The sequence below is a fragment of the Homo sapiens genome, chromosome 1 (assembly GCF_000001405.40).
Source record: "Homo sapiens chromosome 1, GRCh38.p14 Primary Assembly".
NCBI lineage: Eukaryota > Metazoa > Chordata > Mammalia > Primates > Hominidae > Homo > Homo sapiens.
Genome location: NC_000001.11, coordinates 146016239 through 146029848, shown reverse-complemented (window position 1 = coordinate 146029848; position 13610 = coordinate 146016239). Strand labels below are relative to the sequence as shown.

General features: G+C 44.1%; 1 protein-coding gene across 6 annotated transcripts; it reads left to right on the top strand.

The window, feature by feature from the left end:
* Positions 8114-12379, top strand: HJV (hemojuvelin BMP co-receptor). Of its 6 annotated transcripts, none has more exons than NM_001316767.2 (4): positions 8114-8262; positions 9529-9714; positions 10115-10151; positions 11149-12379. In NM_001316767.2, the coding sequence occupies exon 4, from the start codon at positions 11170-11172 to the stop codon at positions 11770-11772; it is 603 nt and encodes a 200-aa protein (NP_001303696.1). In that variant the 5' UTR covers positions 8114-8262; positions 9529-9714; positions 10115-10151; positions 11149-11169; the 3' UTR covers positions 11773-12379. The 6 variants fall into 6 exon arrangements, with proteins under 6 accessions (NP_001303696.1, NP_998818.1, NP_001366281.1 ...); NM_213653.4 differs by having other exon boundaries at positions 10115-10674; NM_001379352.1 differs by having other exon boundaries at positions 9511-9714; positions 10115-10674.

The window sequence follows — 13610 nt, the reverse complement described above, 5'->3', positions numbered from 1 at the left end:
ATGCTCAATGTCAACTGGGTGCGGTGGCTCACGCCTGTAATCCCAGCACTTTGGGAGGCCAAGGTGGGCAGATCACTTGAGGTCAGGAGTTCAAGACCAGCCTAGCCAACGTGGTGAAACTATACTAAAAATACAAAAATTAGCCGGGTGTAGTGGCACACACCTGTAGTCCCAGCTACTCAGGACGCTGAGGTAGGAGAATTGTTTGAACCCGGGAGGCGGAGGCTGCAATGAGCCAAGATTGTGCCACTGCACTCCAGCTTGGGGGACAGAGTGAGACTCAGTCTCAAAAAAAAAAAAAAATGTTCAATGTCATTAGTCATTAGGGAAATGCAAATAAAATCACAATAAGATAACACTTCACCACCAGAATGGCTATAATTTTTTAAAATGGAAAATAACAAGTGTTAGGATAGGGAGAAATTTGAATCCTCTTGTATTGCTGGTGGGAATGTAAAATGGCACACCTGCTGTGAAAAACAGTTTGGCAGTTCCTCAATAAGCTAAACATACAACTAAATATAGAATATGATTCAGTAATTTCACTCCTAGGTATATACCCCAAAGAACTGAAAACAAGCACTTAAAAAAATACTTGTACATGCATGTGGATAGCAGCACTATTTATAACAGTCAAAAAGTGGAAACAATCCAAATTCCATTAATAGATGAATGGCTAAATAAACTGTGGTATATAAATACAATGGCATATTATTCAGGCATAAGAAGGAATGAAGTATTGATACATACTACAACTTGTATAAGCCTCAAAACATTATGCTCAAGAAGCCAGACACGCCGGGCATGGTGGCTCACACCTGTAATCCCAGCACTTTGGGAGGCTGATACAGGTGGATCACGAGGTCAGGAGATCAAGCCCATCCTGGCCAACATGGTGAAACCCCATCTCTACTAAAAATACAAAAAAAAAAAAATTAGCTGGGCATGGTGGTGTGTGCCTGTAGTCCCAGCTACTCGAGAGGCTGAGGCAGGAGAATCGCTTGAACCTGGGAAGTGGAGGTTGCAGTGAGCAGAGATTGCGCCACTGCACTCCAGCCTGGCCACAGAGCAAGACTCTGTCTCAAAAAAAAAAAAAAAAAGCCGGACACAAAAGGTCACATAGTGTATTATTCCATTTATATGAAAGTCAAGAACAGGTATTAATAAATCTAGAGAGACAGAAAGCAGACTGGTGATGGCCAGAGGCTGAGGACTGACTGGCTAATAGGTACAGGATTTCCTTTCAGGGTGATGAAAATGTTATGGAACTAGATAGTGGTGATGTTTTGATGGTTGCACAACATTTTATTTTCTTTTTTCTTTTTCTTTTTTTTTTTTTTTTTGAGATGGAGTCTCGCTCTTGTCACCCAGCCTGGAGTGCAGTGGCACGATCTCAGCTCACTGCAACCTCCGCCTCCTGGGTTCAAGTGATTCTCCTGCCTCAGCCTCCCGAATAGCTGGGATTACAGGCACATGCCACCACACCCGACTAATTTTTCTTATTTTTAGTAGAGATGAGGTTTTGTCATGTTGGCCAGGCTGGTCTTGAACTCCTGACCTCAGGTGATCCGCCTGCCTCAGCCTCCCAATATGCTGGGATTACAGTCATGAGCCACCGCGCCCGGCCGACAAAATTTTCAATGTACTAAGCGCCACTGCATTGTATACATTAAAATAGTTAAAATTGTGAACTTTATGTTGTGTGTATTTTACTACAACAAAAAAATAATGAAGGGGGCCAGGTGCAGTGGCTCATATCTGTAATCTTAGCACTTTGGGAGGCCGAGGCAGGCGGCCGGGAGGTGGAGGTTGCAGTGAGCTGAGATCATGCTACTGCACTCTAGCCTGGGCAACATTGAGCATTGAGTGAGTGAGACTCCATCTAAAAAAAAAAGAAGAAGAAAGGAAAATCCTAGCAGGATTTTCTACAGATACAGACAAGATTATTACTATTACTATTATTATTATTATTTCCTTCGAGATGAGGTTTCACTCTGTCACCCAGGTGGAGTGCAGTGGCGGGATCTCAGCTCACCACAATCTCCACCTCCCAGGCTCAAGCGATCCTCCCACCTCAGTCTCCAGAGTAGCTGGGACCACAGGCGCATGCCACCACATCCAGCTAATTTTTTTGTATTTTTGGTAGAGACAAGGTTTCACCATGTTGGCCAGGCTGGTCTTGAACTCCGGAGCTCAGGCGATCCACCCACCTCGGCCTCCCAAAGTGCTGGAATTACAGCATGAGCCACGACCTTGTTTTAAAAATCTGTAACTTTAAGACAAGAGACCGGGCGCGGTGGCTCACGCCTGTAATCCCAGCACTTTGGGAGGCCGAGGCGGGCGGATCACGAGGTCAGGAGATCGAGACCATCCTGGCTAACACAGTGAAACCCTGTCTCTACTAAAAATACAAAAAATCAGCCGGGCGTGGTGGCGGGCGCCTGTAGTCCCAGGTACTCGGAAGGCTGAGGCAGGAGAATGGCGTGAACCCGGGAGGCGGAGATTGCAGTGAGCCGAGATCACGCCACTGCACTCCAGCCTGGGCGACAGAGCGAGACTCCGTCTCAAAAAAAAAAGACAAGATTATTCTAAAAGTTATATCAAAGGCAAAGAAGCGGACATAGCTAAAACAATTTTTAAAAATAATTAAATGAGGTTGGGCGCGGTGGCTGACACCTGTAATCCCAGCACTTTGGGAGGCCGAGGCGGGCAGATCACTTGAGGTCAGGAGTTGGAGACCAGCCTGGCCAACATGGCGAAACCCCGTCTCTACTAAAAATACAAAAATTAGCCAGGCGTGGTGGTGTGTGCCTGTAATCCCAGCTATTCGGCAGGCTGAGGCAGGAGAATCACTTGAGCCCAAGGCAGGGAGGTTGCAGTGAGCTGAGATCATGCCACTACACTCCAGCCTGGGCAACAGAGGGAGACTGTCTCAAAAAAAAAGAAAGAAAGAAAGAAAGAAGGAAAGAAAGAAAGAAGGAAGGAAAGAAGGAAGGAAGGGAGGGAGGGAGGAAGGAAGGAAAGAAAGAAAGAAAGAAAGAGAAAAAGAAAGAAAGAAAAGAAAAAAGAAGAGAAAAAGAATTACATGAATTAAAGACTGTGTGGTATTGGCAGAGGGATAAATATACAGATCAGTGAAACAATATAGAAAACCCAGTAGTAGACCCACACAAATATACCCAACTGATTTTTTTTTCTTTTTTTTCCAATGAGAAAATGCTAAAACAAGCAAAACTTCATGAAGGGACATCTCATCAAAGACGATATACAGATGGCAAATAAGCTCATAAAAATATTTTCTACATCATTAGCCATAAGGGAAATACAAATTAAAACCCAAATTAGATATCATTACACACCTATCAGAATGGCTAAAAAATTGTTGACGACATCAGCCAAGTGCAGTGGCTCACACCTATAATCCCAACACTTTGGAAGTCTGAGGGGGCAGATCACTTGAGGTCAGGAGTTTGAGACCAGCCTGGCCAACATGGTAAAACCCCACCACTACTAAAAATACAAACAATAGCCTGGCATGGTGGTGCACACCTGTGGTCCCAACTACTTGGGAGGCTGAGGTGGGAGGATCCCTTGAGCCCAGGAGGTGGAGGTTGCAGTGAGCTGAGATCACACCACTGCACTCCAGCCTGGGTGACAGAGTAAGATTCTGTCTCAAAAAAAAAAGAATCTTTGTTGGTAAATTCCTTCAGGTTTTGATGTGTTTGAAAATGTTTTACTTATTTTTAATTCTGGAATAATATTTTAGCTGAGTATGGAAGTCTAGGTTGGCAGTTACTATCTCTTGGCTTATCAGAGCCACACCACAACTGTATTCTCAACAAAAGAGAGATGACACACCACTCTGCTACCACAAAAATGACCAGATAATCCCCTCTTCAGACTAACATGAGTAACTAATGCTTTTTTCTCTTTACCAATTTGGGTTATAATCCTCTTGCTTCCTAGGTAAGAATTATTTAGACACCCAATCACTGAAACGCCCCCACTTCTTAACAGTATTCAATCCCAAATTAGTCCTCATTCAGAGTTTTAGAGACTAGGAAAAAACAAACAAACAACAAAATCAGCCCTCACTATTCTAAACTGTAGTTCAGAAATATCCAACAGAAGCTGAAACTCTATAAGAGGTTCCTTTTAACCTCTCCTTAGGGAAATGGTCCCATAATTCCTTTGGGGCATTCTCTCCCTTGCTACAGCAAGCCAGTAGATTTAACTTTTTTGACTACAGATTTGTTTCCAGTGGTGTTTAGTTAATGAGCTTTGACAAAGATAATGGTCAAATTTCTCCAATATCAATTGACTATGTGAAGAATATACATATATATACACACACACACACACACACATATTTGTGTGTGTGTATGTAATATATACATATTTATATAAGAACATATTGGCAGGGCGCAGTGGCTTATGCCTGTAATCCCAGCACTTTGGAAGGCCAAGGTGGGCGGATCACTTGAGCCCAGGAGTTCGAGACCAGCCTGGCCAACATGGCAAAACCCCATCTCTACTAAAAATACAAAATTAGCTGAGTGTGATGACACATGCCTGTAATCCTAGCTACTCAGGTGGCTGAGGCATGAGAATCACTTGAACCCAGGTGGCAGAGGCTGCAGTGAGCCGAGATCTCTGGGTGACAGAGGGAGACCCTGTCTCAAAAGAAAAAGAAAAGAAAGAACGAACCCAGGTCATTTGTCCTGTAGAGTATTCACAAAGTCTGAATTTGCACCTTTGAGTTACCACTTAATGTCTCCTGTATTTCCTGTAAATTAGTAGTTAGCTCTAATCAGATTCAGACTGGTTTGTTTGTTTGTTTGTTTGTTTGTTTGTTTTTGGTATGGCTACTTCATGCAAGGTGGAGTTATGTACTCTATGATCAGGAAAACATGTTTATCTCTGTTTTCATGATGAATAACAGCCACTGTTTTTTTGTTTACGTAGAGATGGGCTCTTACTATGTTGTCCAGGCTGGTTTTGAACTCCTGGGCTTAAGCAATCCTCCCACCTCAGCCTCCCAAAATGCTGGGATTACAGGTGTGAGCCACTGTGCCCTGCCACAGTCATTGTTGACCATTGCCTAGATATATTAATTCATTTGGATTTACAAAATGTTGATATTCTAATTATATTATCCCTTCTTCAATTATTTACTGGAATGCTTCTATAAAGAGAAATTTCCCCCTCATCTTGAGATACAGTTCCCAAAAGAAAACCAGGATAAATACTTGATTCTTTCCAATTACCAGCAGTTTTTAAAATAATGAGTTGATCTGCCAGCATTCTCCAACAATGACCAATGGGTTTGTATTTTTAAGTATCATTGTGAATTCATGGATTTAAACATATTTTATGAATTTCAATCCATTGCAGATAGTATCCATTTTGATACTTAAATTGCCCCATCTTTGGCCAATGGGAACTATTCTAGTTGGCTCCTAAGTTCTTTTATTACAATCCTAACACTCTTTGAAAGCTTCCTTGCCTATCTTGGACAATACCTGCCCCAAACCTGAAATCAGCCACTTATCCAAGGAGTTGTTTGTTGGTCCCTTTTAACAGAAAATGGTATTTACATAGCACAATTTGAGTACTAGAGGTGTTTATTTTTACTGGATCATTGTTTCCAGGCCTTTTTAGGGTAAAGCTAGGAAAATTTTAAGGATAAAATAAACCATGAGTTCAGAGTTATATTTGCAATTTAAATTCAGAATTACGGAGTTTTCTCTTAACTTCATCAATCGTAAATATGTATCTCTTTATTCCACCCCAAAAATTCTGGTTCTCAGAGACACTAACATTATTAATCATTTGTTTTATCTCATAACTAAAATAATCTCAGAATAACAATACCAACACTAACACCATAATATGGCTATTTAAAAATATTTTTGCATTTATTTTCTGGCATTATAGTATATCCCACTTAGGCTGTCATAGTCAAATTATTATGTTTTAAAGTCACTTGAATAGTTTGGTTAGAAGCATTTTACATTTCTATAATGAAACTGCTTGTGATATGGCCTCTAATGGTTGAGAAATATTTGTCATATATATATACCTGAGAAGTATATATTTGACAAAAATATTTGTCATATATATACCTGAGAAGAGTGCTATGAGGGCCTCTAGACTCTGTATTAAAATAGAGCCAACTGGTAAAGATGGCTTAGTGATTGTGTTGGTTATTACTGAGTGTCAATTTGATTGGATTGAAGGATACAAAGTATTGATCCTGGGTGTGTCTGTGAGGGTGTTGCCAAAAGAAATTAACATTTGAGTCAGTGGGCTGGGAAAGGCAGATCCACCCTTAATCTGGGTGAGCACAATCTAATTCACTGCCAGCACAGCTAGAATAAAAAGCAGGCAGAAAAATATGAAAGGAGAGACTGGCCTAGCCTCCCAGCCTACATATTTCTCCCATGCTGGATGCTTCCTGCCCTTGAACATCAGACTCCAAGTTCTTCAATTTTGAGACTGAGACTGGCTCTCCTTGCCCCTCAAGCTTGCAGACAGCCTACTGTGGGACCCTGTGATTGTGTAAGTTAATACTTAATAAATTCCCCTTTATTTATATATCTACCTATATAGATATCCATATCTATATAGATATTAATAAATCTAGAGAGACAGAAAGCAGACTGGTGATGGCCAGTCTAGATGGCTAGATAGATAGACATGGATATAGATATAGATCTCTATATAGATAGAGGTAGATACAGATATAGATATATGCCCTATTAGTTCTGTTCCTCTAGAGAACCCTAATACAGTGACCGTATTTGGAATCGGTCCTTCTGTTAATTTCACTTGGCAAGTACTAAAAGATGATGATCTCAGATATACCTATGGCTGCAAAAACATGACATGGCTAAATCCCTTGGTTGCAGTATCTCTTTTCTTTTTTAAGGGGGGTGGGGGGGCGGGTCTCACTGTTGCCCAGGCTGGAGTGCAATGGCGTTATCATAGCTCACTGCAGCCTCAAACTCCTGCGCTCAAGTGACCCTCCTGCCTCAGCTCCCAAAGTGCTGAGATTTTGCAATATTTATGGTCACAAGATTATGTTATTCCATAAAAGTATCTTTCTGAGGCTAGGCATGTTGGTTCACACTTGTAATCCCAGCACTCTGAGAGGCTGAGATGGAAGGATTCATTGAGGCAAGGAGTTCAAGACCAGCCTGGTCAACATAGTGAGACCTCATCTCGGAAGGAAGGAAGGAAGGAGGGAGGGAGGGAGGGAGGGAGTGAAGGAAGGAAGGAAGGAAGGAAGGAAGGAAGGAAGGAAGGAAGGAAAAGTATATTTTTGAATCTTTTTCTATTTCTCCAACTCTTTCTTTAGAAGAATTCTATTTCCATTCTTTCTTCACCTCTTTGCCTTTGTTAGCCTTCTCTCCAAGCAAATCGGGAGCCTTTATTTTTTGTGTATTCATGAGGGAGAGGAAGATGAATTGCTGTACAAACTAAAGTAATGAAAATGGAGTAGGTAGGAGGATAGACAGCTGCAAGGATCTGAGCTGGATAGACTGAACAAACCCTCATCCTAAGCAACTCACAGCTCAGATTTCTTCTCTGGACAGCTGGCTTTTTTCGTCCTTCTGAAATACTCTGCAAAGATAGGAGAGGGGCTATGAACTACCTCTGCTATGGATCTTATTCAAAGTCAGCTACCTCCTAGATACTATCTGTAGAACCTAAATGTAATATTCAGCATAGCAGGGATGAACATGGTAAATGAAAGGTATCCAATTGCCCACTGTAATTTTTAAAGGCCAGGAGCTCAACATTATTGAAAATGCTGGAGGGCTGCCTGGAGTAGGCAGTGACCACAGAGTCACACAAGCTGGAATTGGATATCCAACTTGTCTGTCATATTTCTCTCCTCCCTCCCTGACTTGGCACTCAATACTCCATATTCTTTCTAATCCTCTAACCCTCCCCACTCCCCCAACTCCCACACCCTACCCCCACCAACGTTCCTGGAATTTTGGACTTAGCTATTTTTAAAACCGTCAACTCAGTAGCCACCTCCCTCCCTGCTCAGCTGTCCAGTACTCTGGCCAGCCATATACTCCCCCTTCCCCCCATACCAAACCTTCTCTGGTTCCCTGACCTCAGTGAGACAGCAGCCGGCCTGGGGACCTGGGGGAGACACGGAGGACCCCCTGGCTGGAGCTGACCCACAGAGTAGGGAATCATGGCTGGAGAATTGGATAGCAGAGTAATGTTTGACCTCTGGAAACAGTAAGTCAAAATGAAATTGCAATTCCTTTAATAAGCTTTTATATTGAAGTTAGACTTTTATAAAATTACAAACACCTACTTGGATGTCTCTCGTCCAAATGCTGGGATCTCTCCCTACCAAGGTGCCCCAATCTCCATTTCTCTTTCTGTCTTATTTCTTTCTGGCCTCTGGCCTCTAGCTTTTTGAAGTTTAATTCTCTGTCTCTCCTCTGGCAGTCTTAGCCCTCTCTTTACCTTATTACCTCAAGACTCCTGATGAAGTTTTAGAAGGAGTTCCCTACGTCCTCTATTCTGTAGTTTTCTTACCAAGGCCAAATATGACCTCAGATGATGAGTCACTGATACCCTTCTATCCTGCCCCCACTTAGCAATGCCCTTCACATTGAGATTCCAAGCATGGGGGCTGCTCCCTGTAAATGATTTCTCCCCACAACTCTAGTCCCTCCATTCTATTCTCCCTCTTGCAGGACTCTTCCCCCAATCATATCCTTACCCATAAGATAGGGGAGTTAGGCAGGAGGGATTTAGCCCCTCTCCAACTCCTGTCATCATAAAAGACTGAGAACTTCAGAATTTGAAAAGAAGAGATTAATGGAAGGAGTGATATTTGGGAAAATACAAGAACTGTTGACTTAGAAAAAACAAATATTGATTTGCATGTTTGGTTTGCATCCCATTATTCCATGAGAGAGGGAGATTAAAATTGCAGCTCTCTAGAGCTGATGAAAAGAGATTGGTTTCCTTTTCATTTGAATACTGATATTCTAGACGGGATGGGTATGCCACCCTTAATCCTTCTTGTGTTCTGACACAAAGGAGGAAAAGAAATGTATGACTCCTAGAGGGCATCTCCTCCTAATGGAGAGGGACAAATAAGAAGTATGTTTCTGAAATATTTTCAGGTCCTAATTTTACTAGGGTACCCACTAGGATTACTGGTATCTGATCTAGCCCCATGATTCCTCCATCTTTGACATACCTGCTGTTTGGTAGCTCAGAATGGAGCAATACAGTGGACTCTGCCCCCTTGAGTTCACTCAACCTTCCCTCCACCCCCACCTAGGGGTATTGCACAAGGGCCCTAAAAGTGGCCACAGGAACAGGGCAAAGAGGCTTAACTGCCACACTTATAGTTTGAGGAACTCCAATCTCCCCAAATTCCAGTCTGTTCATCCTTTTCTTGATCTCCCCAGATTCACTCCACATTATCCTTACCAATCTTCAATTCTTCTCTCTCTCCATGTCCAGCCAAATTTCTTTTTTCAGTCACTTACAGGGCTTCCGGTCAAAATTCACTAGGTAGGAGGGTCATCAGCTGGGAAGAACCGGCGCCTGGGAAACCTGGCTGGATAGGTATGGGGGAGCCAGGCCAGTCCCCTAGTCCCAGGTCCTCCCATGGCAGTCCCCCAACTCTAAGCACTCTCACTCTCCTGCTGCTCCTCTGTGGACATGGTAAGGAAGGGCCAGGGAAGGGTTTGGGGAAATCTAGAGGGTAGGCTGCTATGTAGGGGTGGGCATGTGAGCCTGAATGAGTGAGGAGAGATAGGCGCTGAGAGTCCCGATCACTCGCCCTGCTCTCAAATACTAATATTTTATTTCCCGTTCAGTCTGGGGAAGGCCACTGGGGAAGCCCTTGGTCGACAGGCAGAAGAGATGTGGCAGGCTTACACACTTTTAGTAAGACAGCCGAGAGAACTAGGGACTAGGGGGTTGGGGGCTGGGGAAGGCCCTTAGTTAGGTTTTAGGAAGGCTGGAAACCCCTGATGAGATTTGGAAGAGTTATGAGCAAACTACACTCCGATAGAGCAGAGGTCTGAGGACCGTCTCACAATCCTCTCCCTTCTGTCTTTAGCTCATTCTCAATGCAAGATCCTCCGCTGCAATGCTGAGTACGTATCGTCCACTCTGAGCCTTAGAGGTGGGGGTTCATCAGGAGCACTTCGAGGAGGAGGAGGAGGAGGCCGGGGTGGAGGGGTGGGCTCTGGCGGCCTCTGTCGAGCCCTCCGCTCCTATGCGCTCTGCACTCGGCGCACCGCCCGCACCTGCCGCGGGGACCTCGCCTTCCATTCGGCGGTACATGGCATCGAAGACCTGATGATCCAGCACAACTGCTCCCGCCAGGGCCCTACAGCCCCTCCCCCGCCCCGGGGCCCCGCCCTTCCAGGCGCGGGCTCCGGCCTCCCTGCCCCGGACCCTTGTGACTATGAAGGCCGGTTTTCCCGGCTGCATGGTCGTCCCCCGGGGTTCTTGCATTGCGCTTCCTTCGGGGACCCCCATGTGCGCAGCTTCCACCATCACTTTCACACATGCCGTGTCCAAGGAGCTTGGCCTCTACTGGATAATGACTTCCTCTTTGTCCAAGCCACCAGCTCCCCCATGGCGTTGGGGGCCAACGCTACCGCCACCCGGAAGGTCAGGCACTCAATCTTCCTTCCGATCCACCTCATGAGATTCTTCCACGGGCACCATTCCTCCCCATCCCCACTATTCAACAGCAATGCTCCCTAATTCCCTTTTCTTCCTCAACCTCTCCCCCATCTCGAATCACTCCCTTCTACCAAACACCTGGAGCTGTAAATCACTTCCCCTTGATGGGAATTTGACTCAAATGCAGAAAACCTTGAAGAGACAGTCGGAGAGGGCGGACCTGAGGAGTTTCAGAAGGGAAACTTTTCCCTCTCCTAGGAAGTTGCCACGATTAAGTAGAGAGGGGGTTAAGTAGGGATGAGGTAATACTGGAACATAAATAGGAGAAGGGATCAAGGATTGAGGGCCATAGTAGTCCTGCATCTCTACTTGGATCAGATCTCTAACTATGTATGAGGTCTGATTGGGGGGAAGATGCACTGAACCCAAAATGAACTGTTTTCCCTCTTGTCCTCACAGCTCACCATCATATTTAAGAACATGCAGGAATGCATTGATCAGAAGGTGTATCAGGCTGAGGTGGATAATCTTCCTGTAGCCTTTGAAGATGGTTCTATCAATGGAGGTGACCGACCTGGGGGATCCAGTTTGTCGATTCAAACTGCTAACCCTGGGAACCATGTGGAGATCCAAGCTGCCTACATTGGCACAACTATAATCATTCGGCAGACAGCTGGGCAGCTCTCCTTCTCCATCAAGGTAGCAGAGGATGTGGCCATGGCCTTCTCAGCTGAACAGGACCTGCAGCTCTGTGTTGGGGGGTGCCCTCCAAGTCAGCGACTCTCTCGATCAGAGCGCAATCGTCGGGGAGCTATAACCATTGATACTGCCAGACGGCTGTGCAAGGAAGGGCTTCCAGTGGAAGATGCTTACTTCCATTCCTGTGTCTTTGATGTTTTAATTTCTGGTGATCCCAACTTTACCGTGGCAGCTCAGGCAGCACTGGAGGATGCCCGAGCCTTCCTGCCAGACTTAGAGAAGCTGCATCTCTTCCCCTCAGATGCTGGGGTTCCTCTTTCCTCAGCAACCCTCTTAGCTCCACTCCTTTCTGGGCTCTTTGTTCTGTGGCTTTGCATTCAGTAAGGGGACCATCAGTCCCATTACTAGTTTGGAAATGATTTGGAGATACAGATTGGCATAGAAGAATGTAAAGAATCATTAAAGGAAGCAGGGCCTAGGAGACACGTGAAACAATGACATTATCCAGAGTCAGATGAGGCTGCAGTCCAGGGTTGAAATTATCACAGAATAAGGATTCTGGGCAAGGTTACTGCATTCCGGATCTCTGTGGGGCTCTTCACCAATTTTTCCAGCCTCATTTATAGTAAACAAATTGTTCTAATCCATTTACTGCAGATTTCACCCTTATAAGTTTAGAGGTCATGAAGGTTTTAATGATCAGTAAAGATTTAAGGGTTGAGATTTTTAAGAGGCAAGAGCTGAAAGCAGAAGACATGATCATTAGCCATAAGAAACTCAAAGGAGGAAGACATAATTAGGGAAAGAAGTCTATTTGATGAATATGTGTGTGTAAGGTATGTTCTGCTTTCTTGATTCAAAAATGAAGCAGGCATTGTCTAGCTCTTAGGTGAAGGGAGTCTCTGCTTTTGAAGAATGGCACAGGTAGGACAGAAGTATCATCCCTACCCCCTAACTAATCTGTTATTAAAGCTACAAATTCTTCACACCATCCTCTGTTGCCTATGTTGAATCTCTTTACAGATGCTTGAAATGGAGTAAATGCAATGTGTTCACTCCACTGAAAGAGGGCTCGGAAGTATCAGATACTGTTGCTATCTCAGGGAGTTTACAGGCTATTGGAGAGACAAAACCAATTCACATGAAAGAGTGATGAGTGTGTAATTATTCACTAAATCCTACAGTATGGTACATTCAGATGGGAAGATGGTAGATTTGAACTAAAGTAATAAGAATAATAAAAGGTAACAGAGAAGATGGGATTTGAAGTGAGCTTTGAAGACTGGGTAAGATTCAAATTGTTAACGATCTTCCAGGCAATGAAAACCATCTGGAGTTATGCATGGATTCATGATTCAGCAAGGAAATGAGCAAAACTCAAATGCAGTAGACAAGGAGTAATGGGACAGAAGGTTAGATGGGCAGAGGCCAGATTATGAAGCACCTTAAAAAGGGGGTAAGGGGTTTAAATTTGATTAATATCTAACACTTATTGAAGCTTAAAATCTGCCAGGCAATGTTTTAAACACTTTTAAAACATTGACTTAATTCTCATAGCTCTCTAAGGAAGGTGGTATTCTTATCTCTATTTTTATATAAGGAAACTTGCCTCCAGTCACACAGCTAACAAATTATGGAACTTGCCTCCAGTCACACAGTTAACAAATGGCAGAGCCAGAAACTGAACCTATGCCGTTTGGATCCCGAAACTTAATTTTTAATCACTATACTATATTGTCAAGGAAGCAGAGAGCCATTAAAGATTCTGGTTGTGGAGCTGGTAAAGATTCTAAAAGGGGAGTTGTGGTGGTCAATGTCACCACAAAAGCTACTCTGAGGCTGGGCGCGGTGGCTGACACCTGTAATCCAGCACTTTGGTAGGCCAATGTGGGTGGATCACTTGAGGCCAGGAGTTCGAGACCAGCCTGGGCAACATGGTAAAACCCCATCTCTACTAAAAATACAAGAAATTTGCCAGGCATGATAGTCCATGCCTGTAATCCTGTAATCCAAGCTACTCAGGAGGCAGAGGCATGAGAATCGAGAATTGCTTGAACCCGGGCCAGGAGGCAGAGGTTGCAGTGAGCTGAGACCACGCCACTGCACTCCAGCCTGGGCAACAGAGTGAGACTATCAAACAAAAAACAACTACTCTCTTCTCATATTCTCATATAAAGCCAAAAAGAGAGAGTTGGAAAAGGAGGGAAAGCCCAAAGTTGAAG